General features: G+C 43.9%; 1 long non-coding RNA gene across 2 annotated transcripts in view; it reads left to right on the forward strand.

The window, feature by feature from the left end:
• LINC02054 (long intergenic non-protein coding RNA 2054) overlaps positions 1 to 19,572 on the forward strand; it is a 38,112-nt gene extending 18,540 nt beyond the window's left edge. Inside the window, exons 2-4 of one of the 2 annotated variants that reach the window (NR_161199.1) lie at positions 2,877 to 3,056; positions 6,516 to 6,939; positions 19,168 to 19,572. This is a non-coding gene — a long non-coding RNA (long intergenic non-protein coding RNA 2054). The remainder of the gene's footprint in view (positions 1 to 2,876; positions 3,057 to 6,515; positions 6,940 to 19,167) is intronic. The other variant, NR_161198.1, reaches the window with a different exon arrangement.
• The last annotated feature ends 223 nt before the right edge of the window (positions 19,573 to 19,795 follow it).

Consider the following 19,795-nt stretch of genomic DNA (forward strand, 5'->3'; position numbering starts at 1 on the left):
AAATAGAAAGTTTGTTCATTAAAAGAAAGCTCAGTAGACAGAATAAATGATGCAAAAAGAGAATTATTGAGTTAGAAGACATTACTTAGGAATTAACATGAATACAATACACAAAGATTAAAAAATATAAAAGCAGTTATGAGATATGAAGGACAGCTTGCATGAAGGGCTATGTATGTCTAATAGGAGTTTCAGAGGAAGAGAATAAAGGGAATGGCAGTGAAAAATACATGAGGAAATAGTAGCTGAGAAATTTCCTTGGGGAAATTGCAGAACATCAAGGGCAAAGAGAATAAAACCTTACCATGGACCTGAGAAAAAGACAGATTACTTAAAAAGTAATTTCTGGACCTCAGCAAAGACTGAGGCTGGGGATGAGGGGGTAGTATCTTCAAAGTGCCAATTGGATTTTTATGCCCAGCTAACTTACAGTGGAAATTTAAGACAAAAGGGGCGTTTCGATACATGTAAAGTGCAGCCCCTCATTTAAAGAATTATTATAGGTTATACACTTCAGGAAGAAAAATGAACCAGAAAAAAAGGGGAGAGCACATGAAACACTGTTAAGCATAGAAATAGATAAAACATGTTGATAAATTTAAATGAGTGTTGACTACAACAGAAACTCCTTTATTTTTTATTTATTTATTTTTGAGACCGAGTCTCTGTCACCCAGGCTGGTGTGCAGTTTTGTGATCTCGGCTCACTGCAACCTCTGCCTCCCGAGTTCAAGCAATTCTCATGCCTTGGCCTCCTGAGTGGCTGGGACAGGCCTGGCTAATTTTTGCTTTTTTTTTTTTTGTTTTTTTGAGACGATGTCTTGCTCTGTCTCCAGGCAGGAGTGCAGTGGTGCTATCTCGGCTCACTGCAACCTCCGCCTCCTGGGTTCAAGGAATTCTCCTGTCTCAGCCTCCCGAGTAGCTGGGACTATAGGCACGCACCACCATGCCCAGCTAATTTTTGTATTTTTAGTATAGACGGGGTTTCACCATGTTGGCCAGGATGGTCTCAAACTCCTGACCTCGTGATCCGCCCGCCTTGGCCTCCCAAAGTGCTGGCATTACAGGCGTGAGCCACAGTGCCTGGCCTAATTTTTGCATTTTTAGTAGAGATGGGGTTTCACCATGTTTGTCAGGCTGTTCTTGAACTTCTGACCTCAGGTGATCCACCCTCCTCGGCCTCCCAAAGTGCTGGGATTTACAGGCATGAGCCACCATGACTGGCCAAAAACTCATTTAAACTTCTCATTTTTATTAAAGATATACATATTCATGTTTTTTTAGAACTCAAATAACTCTGCAGGGCTTATGTGGGAGCCAGCTTCTGGTCTGGCCCCAGTGATCCTCACCTCCTGGTGCTCATGCCCTTGTGTCACACCTTTCCACAATGAATAGGGCTGATCTGTGTAACCGGTAGGGTGGTGCAGAAAATAATGGTGTGTGACATCTCAGCTTAAGTGATGACAGACATTGCAGCTTCCACCTGTTTATTATTGTTATTATTGTTATTATTTTTGAGATAGGATCTCACTCTGTCGCCCAGGCTGGAGTGCAGTGGCACAATCGTGGCTCACTGCAGCCTTGACCTCCTGGGTGCAAGCGATCCTCCTGCCTCAGCCACCTGAGTAGCTGGGACTAGAGGTATGTGTCACCACTCCCAGCATATTTTATTGTTGTTTCAATCAGTTATTGTTATTTCAATAGTAATAGAGAACTGATACACTCACTTATGAACATAAATACAAAAGTCATAAATAAAATATGAGCAAAATGAATTAACTAGCCTATTTTTAGAGTTTAATACTAGAATGTAAGAATGTTTAACTTAATTTATGAATACTACTCACCATATTAAAAAATTAAAGGAGAAAATATTGATCATCTTAATAGATGCAGAAAATTCATGTGATAAAAAATTATATCCATTCATGGTAAAACTTAACCAAATTTGGAATAAAAGGAAGCTTTTTGAACATGATAAGGGTTATCTACCAAAAATCACCAGCAAACAAACTCAAATGGCACAAATCTTTTTTTTTTTTTTTTTTTTGAGATGTAGTCTTGCTCTGTCGCCCAGGCTGGAGTGCAGTGGTGCCATCTCAGCTCACTGTAACTTTTGCCTCCTGGGTTCAAGTGATTCTCCTGCCTCAGCCTCCTGAGTAGCTGAGACCACAGGCACCCACCACCAAACCTGGCTAGTTTTTGTATTTTTAGTAGAGATGGGGTTTCACCACATTGGCCAGGCTGGTCTTGAACTCCTGACCTCAGGTGATCTGCCTGCCTTGGCCTTCTGAAGTGCTGGGATTACAGGTGTGAGCCACCACGCCCAGCCCAGAAGCATTCTTTTAAACTCAGGAGTAAAACAAGGATGGCTGTTCTCATCACGTCTTTTCCACATTGGAGAACCTAGCCTATGCAATAATATAAGAAAAATGGTATAAGAATTGGAAAGGAAGAAATCCAAATGTGGCTAACCTCAAAAACATAAAGTTGAGCAAAAAATCACTTTGTATCACTTTGTAAAATGACATACAGAATGTGATACATTTTATATATAGTTTGAAAACGTAATGGGTATGTAGTTACATATATTTTATATAGTATAAACATACAGGAGAAAGATAAATGTCAGAATTCCATAGAGCTGGGTGTTGGGTGCTTGGGTGTCAGATATGTTAGTGTCTTTACTTTTTTGTTTGAAATATTGTAAAAGGAATAACAATCCAGATTTATGTAACTTAGTTAAGAAAGAATGGCCTCTGAGCTCCTTGTGTGTGCAAATTTCATGATTCTAGGGTTCTTGACATCCCTGTCCTGCTATATTGTGAACTCCCTGACCTTAGGGGCATTGTCTTTTTTTGCTCTTTATATTTCTAGGGCCTAGCATGGTATAGATGTTCAACCTGTGTTTGTTGACTGACTGAGTGAATGGAGAAAGAGGGAAATGCAAAAGAAAGAAGGAAAGGAGGAGGATGGATATGAACTCTGAGACAATTCTTTGACTGCCTGCATCTGACATGGACTTGTATGGAAAGAAGCAGATGGGTTTAAGCAAAGGTAGGGAAATTAGCTCAGCTGGACTTCAGGCATGATTAGAGGAAGAAGTCCAGGATGTTTTGTGAGCCTCCCAGTAGAAGGATGGCGTTGATGGCATCACCATCTAGGTAGGGAGCCCAGAAGGACATGCACGTTTAGGAGGATAAGTGCAGTCTAATTTTAGACAGGGCTGTGAGACCTCCAGGTGTAAACATCCAGCTTGTACTAGGATATGTGGGTCTAGTGCTTGCGAGAGAAGCTGGGGCTAGAAATGGAAACTCTATTGTTATAGGAGAAAGGTGATAAGTAGCATGGTAATCCATAAGCTTCTCCAGGGAGAGTGGGGAGGATGAGGAGAGGAGGAGGCTGCTGACAGAGTCGTGGGGAGCATCAACATGTAAGGACTGGGCAGAGGGAAATAACTCAGGTGAGGAGGCTGAGATGAGAATCCAAAGAAGTAGGAGAAGAACAGGAGAGGCAAGGAAAGAAAGCTTCAGGAGAGAGTGAGTTCAGTGGGGTCAGATAAGGAAAAAAGATCAAGAAATATAAAAACTGAAGTGTCCTTTGAATTTGGCAAATGGCGGTCACTTGTGGCCTTTGCTGGAAGAGTTTCATTAGAGAAGTGGGAGGAGAAACAGGTTGTGCTGTGTCATCAGTGGTGGTGAGCTAAATCCAAGTAAATGTGCTAGACTGAATCTCGAAACCCACTTTTTTTCAGATGCCTAGCCTTGAGGGGTGGAGACAGGTTGGCCGATGAGATCATGGGGTGGATTTGGGGGATAGGAAATAGTTGACTCAATAAACTAAGAGAAGGAATCTGAAGACAGATTTAATTGTGGGAGAGGCCAGGTATGGTGGCTCATGCCTGTAATCCCAGCACTTTGTGAGGCCAAACCAGGAGAATCACTTGAGGCCAGGAGTTTGGGACCAACCTGGGCAACACAGTGAGACCCCTATCTCTAAAAAAAAAAAAAATTGTGGGAGAAAGGGGAGATAATGGATGAATAAGGTTTTGGAGGAAATGGAAGAATGTACAAATACCAGCAATACTGATTAGTCCTGCTAATACTGGTGCTAGCAAACACTTACAGAGCCCCTTCTATGTGCTGAGAGCTTTTCTAAGTACTTAACATACATTTGGCTCATTTAATCTTTTTTTTTTTTGAGACAGAATCTTGCTCTGTTGCCCAGACTGGAGTGCAGTGGTTCAATCTCAGCTCACTGCAACCTCTGCCTCCAAGGTCAAGGGATTCTTGTGCCTCAGCCTCCTGAGTAGCTGGGATTACAGGTGCCTGCCACCATGCCTGGCTAATTTTTGTATTATTATTAATTTTTTTTTGAGACAGAGGCTTCACTCTTGTTGCCCAGACTGGAGTGCAATGGTGCCATCTCAGCTCACCACAACCTCTGCCTCCTGGGTTCAAGTGATTCTCCCGCTTCAGCTTCCCAAGTAGCTGAGATTACAGGCATGTGCCACCACGCCCAACTGATATTGTATTTTTAGTAGAGACAGGGTTTCTCCATGTTGGTCAGGCTGGTCTCGAACTCCCGACCTCAGGTGATCTGCCCACCTTGGCCTCCGAAAGTGCTGGGATTACAGGCGTGAGCCACCGCGCCCGGCTTAATTTTTGTATGTTTAGTAGAGACAGGGTTTCACTATGTTGGCCAGGCTGGTCTCAAACTCCTGACCTCAAGCAATCTACCTGCCTCAGCCTCCCAAAGTGCTGGAATTACAGGCGTGAGCCACAGCACCCAGCCTCATTTATTCTTTCTAACAATCCTATGAGGTAGGTGCTGTAATCACCTAATTTTACAGTTGAGGAAACAGAGGCACTGAGAAGTGAAGTAATTACCATCATTACCATGTATTGAGCTCTTTCTCTTTTCTTTTTCTTTTTTTTTTTTGAGATGAAGTCTCACCCTGTCACCCAGGCTGGAGTGCAGTGGTGTGATCTTGGCTCACTGCAGCCTCTGCCTCCCGGGTTCAAGCGATTCTCCTGCCTCAGCTTCCCAAGTAGCTGGGACTACAGGTGCACACCACCATGCCCGGCTAATTTTTGTATTTTTTTTTAGTAGAGATGGGGTTTCACCATGTTGGCCAGGCTGGTCTTGAACTCCTGACCTCAGGTGATCTGCCCACCTCGGCCTCCCAAAGTGCTGGGATTACAGGCATGAGCCACTGTGCCCAGCCGAGCTCTTTGTATTGATAAGGTACTACATGAAGAATTCACAAGTCTTACTCCTGACAACTCTGCGATGTATTCGGAGATGAGTTTTACATAGCAGGTAGAGCAAGGACACGGTGAGAGGCAGTGAGAACACAGATGGAGAGTTTGCCTCAGGCTCTGATTCTAGAGGGAGGGATGGATGTGGGTTCAGAGACGGTTGTGGACTTCAGGGAGGGAGGGGGAGAAAGCAGTAGGAATTTGAGGCAGTTCAGGGCAATGGGTTTGATTTCTTTGGTAACGTAGAGAAGGAACACATTTATTGTAGAAAACACAGGTAGTGATAAAAGAAAACAAGAGTATTTTAATATCAATCCCTTGTCACAACCACTCTTAACATTTTGCTGTGTTTCTTTCCAGAACTTTTTTTTTTCCGAGATAGAGTCTTGCTCTGTCTTACCCACGCTGGAGTGCAGTGGCAAGATCCTGGCTCACTGAAGCCTCCACCTCCCCAGTTCAAGCGATTCTCCTGTCTCAGACTCCCGAGTAGCTGGGATTACAGGCACGTGCCACCACACGGGCTAATTTTGTATTTTTAGTAGAGATGGGGTTTCACAATGTTGGACAGGCTGGTCTCGAACTGCTGACCTCAGGTGATCCACCCGCCTTGGCTTCCCAAAGTTCTGGGATTACAGGCACGAGCCACCATGCCAGGCCTCTTTCCAGAACTTTCTTTAAGAATCCATATGCAAGTGTATATGCATAACAGAGAGAGGTCAGTCCTTCCTTCTGATGGAGAGGTTAAGAGTCAAAATAAACAGACCCAGAAGCTGGGGGTGGGGTGGGAGTAGGGCCTCCTGGCATCACTGAGGGGAGCATGTAGCAGATGGGTGCCCAGTGAGTGGCCCAGTTGTCTGAGGAAAATGGTGTGGGGTATGAAGACTCCCTTTGTGTTTAGAGCATGTAGAAGACCAGCCCGCAGGTCCCTGAGAGAGGATATAGGAGAGATGGAGGTGAGTGGCTATGACTGCAAGAAGGGGAAGGGGCTGGACTTTGTCCTGCCCCCATACCTGTGGGTCAGCCTTGGGACCCTCTTTGACCCTTCGAAGAACCCACAGGAATCGATGGAGCCAAGCACCCAGGCTGCGCCTTTACCTTTCAGGCCTGTTCTCCAGAAGCAAGATCACTGCTTTGATGAAGATGGGCTCCTGCTGTCCAGGCCCTTCACTTAATAATGTATTGTAAATCTTAATAATGTATTGTAAATCTTAATAATGTATTGTAAATCTTGTAAATCTTTTTCCATTTCATTCAGTGTTTGCTGCGCATCAGGATGTTTGGTGGACATTCCATTGTGGATGGACCCTGGCTTCTTGCCCAACCGCTTATGTTGGAAATGCCCACCAGACTGGACCTCCCTGGAGACCAAACGCAGCCCATCTTGGGAGCTGGCCAGTGCCACATCCTCCCCCTCTTGCAGGGACCAGCTGAGTCAGTTGCTCCATCTCGCACCTCTCAACACCTTCCTGTGTGGCACTGGACCACCTGTGGAAGCCCTGGCATGCCTTGCTACCATAGCTCGCAGAAGTTATGGAGAAAAGGAGGCCCACACAGACTGAGAAAACACCAAGGCGAGGGCATGGCTGGGATCCCAGCGCAGGATCCCCGTTCTTCTGCAGTCACAGTCTTGGCTGAACTGAGCCCTTTCCTCCCAGTGTTTGGCTTGGATGCTAGACCAGGTGAGTCAGCCGTCCTGGCGCACTCTTTTGAGCTGAAAGTCACATCCAGATGGGGCTCTTGCCAGAAGGGCAGAATTATCGATCTCGTCTTCCCAGCCCGCTCTCTGAAACTAGGTCCCAGAACGTGTCCTGTGGGGAAGTGGGCAATGACAAGCCATAGGAGCTGACATAGATCAGCTCTAAGTAGCACGGAGCCTCTCATAGTCACCCAGGGTCTGGGCCCTCAAGCGAGAGACACACTTCTCTATGTGTCCTCAGATTCTTGGGCTTGAGCATGCACCTCCCAGAGGATGCCAGATAGACCTGGTTGGAATCCCAGCTTCATCACTGGCCAGTTGGGTGACCTTGGCCTTACCTCTCTGGGCCCTCAGAGATGAATTATTCTCATCTTAAAAATGGAAAATGTTGTCTGAGCTTATGAAGATAAAAAGGTCAATGCATATAAATAGAATAATAGGGCCTTAAAATTTCCACTAGACACTAATATGCACCATAGATGTGAAGATCCAAAGTGAGAGCCCGAGTCACCTTATGGAAGATTTTCTATGGAAATGCCAAAAAATCTGATCCAAGACTTTGAAACCCCTTTCCCACTTTGAGACACTGAAAATGTAGACAGACAGGTGATGGGAGGATGTTGTATGGCGGACGTCCTTGAAGAAAGCTGTGCTGTGAGTCCCATCCTGGGGACAGGTGAGCTCCTGCTCCCTTACCTCACACTTGGTAAGGGTGAGTGTCTGTGGGGCAGCTTCTTTAAGAGTCTAACATGAGGCCAGGTGTGGTGGCTCACACCTGTAATCCTAGCACTTTGGGAGGCCAAGCCGGGCAGATCATGAGGTCAGGAGTTCGAGACCAGCCTGGCCAACATGGTGAAACCCCATCGGTACTAAAAATACAAAAATTAGCTAGGTGCGGTGGCACACGCCTGTAATCCCAGCACTTTGGGAGGCCAAGCCAGGCGGATCATGAGGTCAGGAATTCTAGACCAGCCTGGCCAACATGGTGAAACCCCATCTCTACTAAAAATAAAAAAATCAGCTGGGCATGGTGGCAGGCACCTGTAATCCCAGCTACTCGGGAGGCTGAGGCAGGAGAATCACTTGAACCCAGGAGGCGGAGGTTGCAGTGAGCTGAGATTGCGCCACTGCACTCCAGCCCGGATGACAGAGTGAGACTCCGTCTCAAAAAAGAAAAAGAAAAAACAGAGCCTAACATGAGACCCCTACAACTGGGGAGCGGGGTGGCCTGGGGTCTAGTTTCACCTGGGAAATCTGGAAGGTGACAGGAGGGCTCACCAGCTGCTCTGGTGGGGCTGCTGCCACCTCACTGGGACCAGCCTGCACCCTCAGAGTTTTTTCTGGGGTAGGGAGGCAGGAGAGTTTCTTCTGAACAGACGTAGGTCCTGTGGCAGAGAGAGCCTGCAAGGACTCCCTGTCTTGAGTCTATGTAGAGGGATCCTAGCGGGAGAAGGTTGGAACTGAATGCCCATGGGCTGAGGATGGGGTCTCAGATGACCACCCGAAATGAGATTGGACTTGAGACACATCCATAGATAAAAGAGGATTTTGGGAGAAAGGCTGAGGCGGCACTCAGCCGGTAACTTGAGTGGAGGGGGTGTAAAATCACTCCATGAAAAAGAGGCAAAATTTAACATCTGCCTGCCAAGACAGTCTGAAGCCAATTCTATGGTAACTGGCTCGGGGAGGCCAAGTGGAACGAGAGAGAAGACAAAGCCCTCTCCATTGTGTCCACTGGAGGTTCCCAGCTGGCCAGGCACAAGCTGGGGGAAGAGAGAAGGATGTAAGGTAAAAATAAGCTCAGAGTTTTGATGAATACCTCACATTAAAGTTCCAATTTCTGGCTTGAGACTGCGTTTGCAACTAAAAGCAACCACAGACTATTCTAAGCATGAGCAGAAAAATCTCAGGCCTGCTGAAATTGGCATCCAGGCTGGGGAGGGTGTCCTATTCTGAATAATTATGGTGCAAAGAAATAGCACACTGGTTACTTAAGGCTCAGCAGCTTGGCAGCTGGGACACGCACAGCAATAGCTCTTTGTTTCACTGCCCCAGTCACCTGATGGTCTTTGGTTCACAGACTACTCTTTCTCTAGCTCATAGATTATTCCTTGAAGGATGTTTGTCTGAATATCAAGGTCAAGTTCTCTTAGCAAACGCCACTTCTTACCACTGATTATCTTGAGCCTAATTTCCCTAGAAGTCAGATGGGCCGGGTGTGGTGGCTCACACCTGTAATCCCAGCACTTTGGGAGGCTGAGGCGGGCAGATCACCTGAGGTCAGGAGCTCAAGACCAGCCTGGCCAACATGGTGAAACCCTGTCCCTACTAAAAATACAAAAATTAGCCATGGCAGTGGGAGCCTGTAATCCTAGCTACTCAGGAGGCTGAGGCAGGAGAATCACTTGAACCCGGGAGGCGGAGGTTGTTGTGAGCCAAGATCGCGCCATTGCACTCCAGCCTGGGCAACAGAGCAAAACTCCGTCTCAAAAACAAAAACAAAGAAGTCAGATAACCTCCCTGATGGATACTATCCTGAGAGAGAGAAGAACATGCCATGTTTTTTTCTCTGTTCCAGACAGCGGCAGTGCTACCCAAGAATCAGGCCAGGAGATGGAACCAGGCAGGCTGGCTTCTGCCTCTTAGAAGTCATGTGGCCCCATGGACAGACTTAAGCTCTCTGCCCTACTAGCTGGTCATCTGTAAAACAGTTGATAGTAATAATGTGTATCTCATAGGGTTAAGAGTATGTAATAAAATTATCTATTAGGTTCAACCCTAGAAATCCCTAACATTCAACCATTTTTTACTCTACAAAAATAGCAGTTTCTAATGATTCATCCAAATATGTAAACAATGCTTTGCAACCTCTCCATTGCTAGTTATTGTGTTAGACAAAACAAAACAGCAGTAACAACAAAATGTTTCCATCCGTGCTCCGAATAATGAGTCTCCAGAATTCTGTTTCCAGGAATGTCTCAAGGAGCCTGGTGAGTTGTAAAGCAGCCACGATCGACAGCTCAAGACCTGTGAATGCTCAAGACCTTCCTGGTTTCCTTGCTAGATTTTCCCAGTGCCCAGAGAGCTCACTGTCTCTCTTCTGGGCCTCACTGCAAAAACAAGCACAACCTGTGCCTCAAACACAAAAAACTCTCAATCATATTCTGAAATTTCACTACACTGCATCTCAATGGATGTTTATTGCATTCATCCTGCTTAACATCAAGTGCACCCTCTCAATTCTAAAGACTCGCATTTTTCTTTGGGTTTGAGAAATATTCATTTATTCTTTTTGTTTTTTGAGAATGGGTCTCACTCTGTCACCCAGGCTGGAGTGCAGTGGCGCCATCATGGGTCACTGCAGCCTCAACCTCCCAGGCTCAAGCAATCCTCCCACCTCAGCCTCCCAAGTAGCTGGGATTACAGGCACAAGCCACCACACCCAGCGTTTTGTTTTTTTTTTGTAGAAATGAGGTCTTGCTGTGTTGCCCAGGCTTGTCTTGAACTTCTGGCCTCAAGGGATTCTCCTTTCTTGGCTTCCCAAAGTGTTGGGATCACAGCCTTGAGCCAGCACGCCTGGCCTATTCATCTATTCTTTAAAAACTATATCACTCGGGCCAGGCGTGGTGGCTCACGCCTGTAATCCCAGCACTTTGGGAGGCTGAGGCGGATGGATCATGAGGTCAGGAGATCGAGACTAACACGGTGAAACCCCATCTTTACTAAAAATACAAAAAATTAGCTGGACGTGGTGGTGGGCGCCTGTAGTCTCAGCTACTCGGGAGGCTGAAGCAAGAGAATGGCGTGAACCTGGGAGGCGGAGCTTGTGGTGATCTGAGATGGGGCCACTGCACTCCAGCCTGGGTGACAGAGCAAGACTCTGTCTCAAAAAAAAAAAAAAAATGTGTGTGTATATATATATACACATTATATATATATACATTATATATATATACATTATATATATATATACACATTATATATATATATGGCTTGTCAGGTTGATAAATTTGACTATATAAAAATTAAAAACTTGTGTATGAGAAAAGACTATATAAATGCAATAGAAAAAAGAGTTAAAGAGGAAGTTCACAGAAAAAGTGTCCCAAATGTCTAATAGACCGTGAAGGATAATCAGCCTTAGCAGAAATCAGGGTCATGCAAATTAAAATTATAGTGAGGTATAATTTCTCACCTATGAAATTGGAAAAGCTAAAAAGTCTGAAAATAATAAGTATTGGTGAGGATAAGGAAAATAGGAAGAGCTGTATACTGCTCGTGGAAGTATAAATAGAAGAGTAATTTGGCAGAATCTAGTAAAATAGGAAATGTGCAAATCCTATCATTTTGTAATTTTTCTAGATATACACTTGGAGAAACCTTCATCTATGTGCAGAAGGCAATATGTACTATTATTATATTGTTTCATTGTTTCGTGATGGTAAAAATTTGGAACTACTGCATAAGTCCATCTATAAATAAAGCACTATATAAAAATGTGGTATAGTTAGTTGTACAGTGAAATGTTCTATAGCAGTGTGCAGAAATTAACTGGCTGTTTATAAATGTGGAGAAAGCCAAAACTTATAGTGCTGAGTGAAAATAGCTAGTTGCAGAACCCTACATACAGTATGTTATTACTTAAAGCCACATACAAAGGCATCATATATATTATATACATTCTTATACTGTGTATTGTATTGGAAAAGTATATACAAATTTATGATGGTGGTTGCTGCCCTAAGGGAAAGGGAGGAGATTGGGGTCAGTAAGACCATTAGCCTTGTTTGTAATGTTTTATTTCTTTTAAAACATTAATTGAGCTGGGCACAGTGGTTCATGCCTGTAATCCCAGCACTTTGGGAGGCCAAGGCAGGAGGATCACCTGAGGTCTGGAGTTCGAGACCAGCCTGGCCAACATGGTGAAGCCCTGTCTCTACTAAAAACTCAAAAATTAGCTGGGCATGGTGGTGTGCATCTGTAACCCCAGCTATATGGGAGGCTGAGGCACGAGAATCGCTTGATCCCAGGAGGTGGAGGTTTCAGTGAGCCGAGATCATGCTACCGCACTCCAGCCTGGGTGACAGAGTGAGACTCGGTCTCATGAAAAAAAAAAATTAATTGAAGCACATGTAGTAAAACAATAAATTGTCAGTATTGATTGGTGGTAACATAGTATTATATTATTTGCTGTTCTATTTTGTAACTTTAACATTTAAAAAATTCTATTCTGTTTTCTTCTTCTGGAACATCCATTAGAGGGATGTTGGAACTTCAGAATGTATTTTTCATATCTCTTAAATATATTAATTTATATTTTTCTTTTCTCATGCTGCATTCCAGAAGGGTCTCTCAGCTCAATTTTCCAGCTCAGTAATTCTTTTTATCTAACCTCTTTTTTGTTTTCCTTTTATAATACTGTTTTTATCATATTGTTAAAATAGTCACTGGTCAGTGTTTGTGTTTACAAAACCATTTTTGTTAAGACTTTGTCCCCTCTTTTGTCTGTCTATGTGAAGATGTTAGGAAGAAATGAAGCCGGCCAGGCGCAGTGGCTCACGCCTGTAATCCCAGCACTTTGTGAGGCCGAGGGGGGCAGATCACAAGGTCAGGAGTTTGAGACCATCCTGACCGATATGGTGAAACCCTGTCTCTACTAAAAATACAAAAATTAGCCAGGTGTTGTGGCTCATGCCTGTAATCCCAGCTACTGAGGAGGCTGAGGCAGGAGAATCACTTGAACCTGGGAGGCAGAGGTTGTAGAAAGCCGAGATTGCACCACTGCACTCCAGCCTGGGTGACAGAGTGAGACTCCATCTCAAAAAAAAGAAAGAAATGGTCTACCTCATATATACACACACACACATACACACACACACACACACACACACATAGCTATATGCTTATTAGAATGTCCAAGATAATAATTTAAAAAATGAACAATACAAAGAAATGGTCACAGGAACTCTGAAATACTGCTCAAGGGTATGCAAAATGATATGGTCATTTTTTTTTTAAATTTTACTTTAAGTTCTGGGATACATGTGCAGAACATGCAGGTTTGTTACATAGGTATACATGTGCCATGGTGGTTTGCTGCACCTATCAACCCATCATCTAGGTTTTAAGCCCCACATGCATTAGATATTTGTCCTAATGCTCTCCCTCCCCTTTCCCCCCACCCACCAACAGGCCGTGGTGTGTGATGTTCCCCTCCCTGTGTCCATGTGTTCTCATTGTTCAACTCCCACTTATGAGTGAGAAAATGTGGTGTTTGGTTTTCTGTTCCTGCGTTAGTTTGCTGAAGATGATGGTTTACAGCTTCATCCAGGTCCCTGCAAAGGACATGAGCTCATTCTTTTTTATGGCTGCATAGTATTCCATGGTGTATATGTACCACATTTTCTTTATCCAGTCTATCATTGATGGGCATTTGGGTTGGTTCCAAGTCTTTGCTATTGTAAATAATGCTGCAAAAAAGTATGTGTGCATGTGTCTTTATAGTAGAATGATTCATATTCCTTTGGGTATATACCCAGTAATGGGATTGCTGGGTCAAATGGTATTTCTGGTTCTAGATCCTTGAGGTATTTCCACACTGTCTTCCACAGTGATTGAACTAATTTACACTCCCACCAACAGTGTAAAAGCCTTCCTATTACTTCACATCCTCACCAGCATCTGTTGCTTCCAGACTTTTTAATGATCGCCATTCTAACTGGCATGAGAAGGTATCTCATTGTGGTTTTGATTTGCATTTCTCTAATGACCAGTGATGATGAGCTTTTTTTCATATGTTTGTTGGCCGCATAAATGTCTTCTTTTGAGACGTGTCTGTTCATATCCTTCACCTACATTTTTTTTTTTTGAGATGGAGTTTTTGCTCTTGTCATCCAGGCTGGAGTGCGATGGCATGATCTCGGCTCACTGCAACCTCCGCCTCCCCAGTTCAAGCGATTCTCCTGCCTCAGCCTCCCGAGTAGCTGGGATTACAGGCACCCACCATCATGCCCAGCTAATTTTGTATATTTAGTAGAGACGGGGTTTCTCCATATTGGTCAGGCTGGTCTTGAACTCCCAACCTCAGGTGATCCACCCGCTTCAGCCTCCCAAAGTGTTGGGATTACAGACGTGAGCCACCACGCTGGCCGTCTAACCTCCACCTCCATTTGTTTAAAAAAAATTTGTTTTCTAACCTCCTTCTTTTTAAAAAAAGAAAAAATTTGTCATAGAAGACTTAATATTAGATCTCTCCCCTTAACTAATTTCTAAGTGTGCAGTACCTAACTGTTGACTAGAGATTCGATGTTGCACAGCAGATCTCTAGAGCTTATTCATCTCGCTTGACTGAACCCTGATGCCTACTGGTTAGTAAGTCCCCAGTCCCTGGTAACTGCCATTCCACTCTTAGATTCCATAAATTTCACCATTTTAGACATCTCATATAAGTGGAATCATGCAGTTTGTCCTGTGACAGGATTTTTTTTCACTTAGCCTAATGTCCTCAAGCTTTATCCATTTTGTCACATATTGAAGAATGTCCTTTTTTTTTTTTTTTTTTTTTTTTTTGAGATGGAGTCTCACTCTGTCACCCAGGCTGGAGTGCAGTGGTGTGATCTCGGCTCACTGCAACCTCCGCCTCCAGGTTCAAGTGATTCTTCTGCCTCAGCCTCCTGAGTAGCTTGGACTACAGGCATGCGCCACCACGCCTGGCTAATTTTTGTATTTTTAGTAGAGATGGGGTTTCACCATATTGTCCAGGCTGGTCTCGAACTCCTGACCTCATGATCCACCTGCCTCGGCCTCCCAAAGTGTTGGGATTACAGGCGTGAGCCACTGTGCCCGGCCAGAATGTCCTTCTTTTTAAAGGTTTAATAGTATTTCACTATATGTATATACCACATTCTCCTCATATATTCATCTGTCAATAGACATTAAGGTTGTTTCTACATCTTGCCTATTGTGAATAGTGCTGCAGTGAACGTAAGAGTGCTAATATCTCTTTAAGATCCCGATCTCAATTCCTCTGGGTAAATATCCAGAAGTAGGATGCTGGATTATATGGCGGTTCTAGTTCTAATATTTTGAGAAACCTCCATACTGTTTTTCATAGTGGCTGCACCTGCAACATTTTGCATTACCATCAACTGTGTGCAAGAGTTCTGATTTTTCTACAACCTTACTAACACTTGTCTTTTTATTTTATTTTATTTTATTTTGAGACAGAGTCTCGCTCTGTCACCCAGGCTGGAGTGCAGTAGCATGATCTCGGCTCACTGCAAGCTCCGCCTCCCAGGTTCACACCATTCTCCTGCCTCAGCCTCCCGAGCTGGGACTACAAGCGCCCGCCACCATGCCCAGCTAATTTTTTGTATTTTTAGTAGAGACGGGGTTTCACTGTGTTCGTCAGGATGGTTTCGATCTCCTGACCTCATGATCCGCCCACCTTGGCCTCCCAAAGTGCTGGGATTACAGGCATGAGCCATCACACCCGGCCAACACTTGTCTTTTATGTTTTTGGTAATAGCCATCCTCATAGGTGTGAGGTGATAGCTTATTGCTGTTTTGATTTGCCTTTCCCAGATGATTAGTGATGATTAGTGCTCAATTAGGGATTGAACATTTTTTCATATACTTGTTGGCCATTTATATGTCTTCTTCGTAGAAATGTCTATTCAAATCATTAGCCCATTTTAAAATCAGGTTATTAGTTTTTTCTAAACTATTGAGTTGTAGAAGTTCCCTATATTTTTTATTTTATTATATTTTATTTTTGAGACAGAGTTTCGCTCTTGTCACCCAGGCTGGAATCTCAGCTCACTACAACCTCTGTCTCCTGGGTTCATATGATTCTCCTGCCTCAGACTCCCTGGTAGCTGGGATTACAGGTATGCACCATCACACCTGGCTAATGTTGTATTTTTGGTAGAGATGAGGTTTCACCATGTTAGCCAGGCTGGTCTGGAACTCCTGACCTCAGGTGATCCTCCTGCCTCGGCCTCCCAAAGTGTTGGGATTACAGGCGTGAGCCACCGTGCCTGGCTCCTTATACTTTTTAGAGATTAACCCCTCACCAGTCATATGGTTTGAAAATATTTCCTCTCATTTCATAGGTTGCCTTTCATTCTTGATTCTTTTCTTTGCCATGCAGAAGCTTTTTAGTTTGATGTAGTCCCACTTTTTATATTTGCTTTTGTTGTCTGTGATTTTGGTGTCATATCTGTGAAATCATTGCAAAGATCCATGTCACAAAGATTTTCCTCAGTGTTTTCTTCTAGGAATTTTACAGTTTCCTCTTTCTTTTCTGATCTCACTTAACTGTTTTACCTTTTTTTCTGAGTTAGTCTAGCCAAAGATTTGTCAATTTTCTTTATCTTTTCAAAAAGCTAATTCTTAGTTTTGTTCATTTTTTTCTTTTCTTTCCTTTTTTTTTTTTTTTTTTTTTTTTTGAGACGGAGTCTTGCTTTGTTGCCCAGGCTGGGGTGCAATGGCACGATCTCGGCTCGCTGCAACATTTGCCTCCCAGGTTCAAGTGATTCTCCTGCCTCAGCCTCCGAAGTAGCTGGGATTACAGGCATGCGCCACCACACCCGGCTAATTTTGTATTTTTAGTAGAGATAGGATTTCGCCATGTTGGTCAGGCTGATCTTGAACCGCTGACCACAGGTGATCAGCCCACCTCAGCCTCCTAAAGTGCTGGGATTACAGGTGTGAGCCACCGTGCCCGGCCGATTTTTTTCTATTGTTTTTCTTTTTTCAATCTTATCTGTGCCCTAATCTTTGGTATTTCTTTCTTTCTGCTAACTTTGGGCTTAGGTTGTCATTTTTTTCCCAGTCAGTTGAGTTGTGAAACTTATGAGATGCAACAAAAGCAGTCCTAAGAGGGTATAGTGATACATACCGACATTTACAGTTAAAGTAATTATTGATAGAAAAGGATTTACTATTGCCATTTTGTTAGTTGTTTTCTGATAGCCTCGTGGGGTTTTTTTCTGTCTTTTCCCCCTTGCTGTCTTCCCTTGTGTTTTATTTTTTTGTATTGCTATGCTTTGATTCCTTTTGTGTGTGTGTATGTGTGTGTGTGTGTAACTTCTTCTTTTTTTTTTTGAAGACGGAGTCTCGCTGTGTCACCCAGGCTGGAGTGAAGTGGGGCAATCTCGGCTCACTGCAACCTCTGCCCTCTGGGTTCAAGTGATTCTCCTGCCTCAGCCTTCTAAGTAGCTGGGATTACAGGCATGCGCCACCATGCCCAGCTAATTTTTGTATTTTTAGTAGAGGTGGGGGTTTACCATGTTGGCCAGGCTGGTCTCAAACTCCTGACCTCAGGTGATCCACCTGCCTCGGCCTCCCAAAGTGCTAGGATTACAGGGGTGAGCCACTATGCCTGGCCCTTGTGTAACTTCTATAGGTATTTATTTTGTAGTTACCTTGGGGCTTAGGTAAAATATTTTATAGTTATGACAGTTTATTTTAAGCTGATAATTTAAGTTTAATCATGTACAAAAGCTTTACACTTTAACTTCTACCCCCATCACACTTTATATTATTGTCATAATTTATATCTCTTAATTCTGTGCATATGCCAAGACTTGAATATTTGTGCCATCAGAAACTCATGTTGAAACCTAATCCCCAGTGTGGCAGTATTGAGAGGTGGGGCCTTTAAGAGGTGATTGGATCATGAAGGCCCTACCCTCATGAGTGGATTAATCCATTATTGGATTAATGGATTAATGGGTAAATAGATTATCACAGAAGTGGAACTGGTGGCTTTATAAGCAGAGGAAGAGAGACCTGAGCTAGCGCTCTCAGCCCCCTCACCATGTGATGTCCTGTACTGTCTTGGGATTATGCAGGGTGTCCCCACCAGCAAGAAGGCCTCCACCAGATGTGGTCCCTTGACCTTGGACTTCCCCAACTCTAGAACTTTAAACAATAAACTTCTTTCATTTATAGATTACCCTGTCTCAGGTATTCAGTTATAGCAACAGTAAATGGATTAAGAGTATATTTTAATATATTTTTGGTTATAGTTCTTTTCTTTTCTTTCTTCTTCTTCTTTTTTTTTTTTTTTTTTTTTGACAGAGTCTTGCTCTGTGGTCCAGGCTGGAGTACAGTGGTGTGATCTCAGCTCACTGCAACCTCTGTCTCTGGGGTTCAAGCGATTCTCCTGCCTTGGCCTTCCCAGTAGCTGGGATTACAGGCATGTGCCACCATGCTTGGCTAATTTTTTATCCTTTTAGTGGAGGTGGGGTTTCAACATGTTGGCCAGGCTGGTTTCGAACTTCTGACCTCAAGTGATCTGCCCGCCTTGGCCTCCCAAAGTGTTGGGATTGTAGGCATGAGCCACCATGCCTGGCCAGTTATAGTTATTTTCCATCTTTTTTCTTTTAACTTGTATAGGAGAATTAAAAGTGATTTCTCCATCACCATTACAGTATTACAGTATTCTATATTTGTCTATACATTTACCTTTACTAGTGAGTTTCACACTTTCTTTTAATATTGTGTGGCTATTTAGCATACTTTCATTTCAACTTGAAGAACTTCCTTTAGTATTTCTTGTAAGGCAGGTCTAGTGATGAACTCTCTCAGCTTTTATTTGTCTGGTAGTCTTTATTTCTCTTTCATTTTTGTAGGACAGTTTTGTCAGGTATAGTAGTCTTGGTTGGCAGTTTTTTCTTTCAGTGCTTTGAATATATCATCCTACTCACTTCCTAGCTCAGTAATTCTTACAAATTGTGATTATTTTGTTGTCAGCTCATCTGCTTAATTTTTTATTTCCATTACAAAATTTTTGAGATGCCTTATTGACTTTTTTTTTTAAATCACAGCTTGCCTAAATTTGTTTTTATGTCTTGGCTATTAGACCTTCCCTTATTCTTCCAAGTAGTCCTAGCTACTCGGGAGGCTGAGGCAGGAGAATTGCTTGAATCCAGGAGGCAGAGTTTGCAGTGAGCTGAGATCATGCCACTGCACTCCAGCCTGGGCAACAGAGCAAGACTCCATCTCAAAAAGAAGAAGAAGAAGAAGAAGGAGAAGGAGAAGGAGAAGGAGAAGGAGAAAGGGGGAGGGGGAGAAGAAGGATTACATGAATTAAGTGTGCCTATAATTTTATAGTCATTTGCAGAGTGCTTGGCACACAGTTGGGTGATATAAATGCTGGTTAAGGGGCATTTTTCTACTTAAACCCTCCTATGGAATCTCCTAGGTCCTGGGAGAAACCTCACTCCTGGGAAGCTCCTGCGTGCTACCCCTGTCAGCTGGGAGACAGCTCTGCCGCATTTTTTTCAGCTCCTCCATTGCTCTGCTGATTCACAGCCTCCAGCTTCCAGAACCTTTCCCCTGTCGGGACAGTAGTCCAACTCCGTTTTCACATGCTTGTCCTATTTGCTCGTTGGGTTCCAGGAGGCTCTCTCCGTCCCCTGGCTCTGTGTATGGCCCATCGTCCTTACCACACTGTCCTGCAAGTGCTCGTTAACTCACCTGGCTTCTCCACTGCCCTCTCTGTTCCCTCAATGAAGGAACCCTGGGATCTTGCTCGCCCCTAGTATCTGGCACATAGTATACCCCCAGGAAGTATTTATTGTGAAAATCAATAAATTACTTGAATTGATATTTGTTGAGCATCTGTGTGCGCCAGGCTGGTGGTAAGCCTTTTGCACAATCATTCCATGCAGATTGCAAAGCCCCTCTCTGAGGTAGCATCGTAACCCCTGCTTTCCCTTCGAAGCTTGTGCTCCCCAGTCTCCTACCTTCCGGTCCTCCCGTATCTGTCGCTGGGTCACCTCGCTTGCCCACTAAAGATTTTGGCATGAATTCCATGGTTTTCCCTGGCA

The sequence above is a fragment of the Homo sapiens genome, chromosome 3, assembly GCF_000001405.40.
Source record: "Homo sapiens chromosome 3, GRCh38.p14 Primary Assembly".
Taxonomy (NCBI): Eukaryota; Metazoa; Chordata; class Mammalia; order Primates; family Hominidae; genus Homo; species Homo sapiens.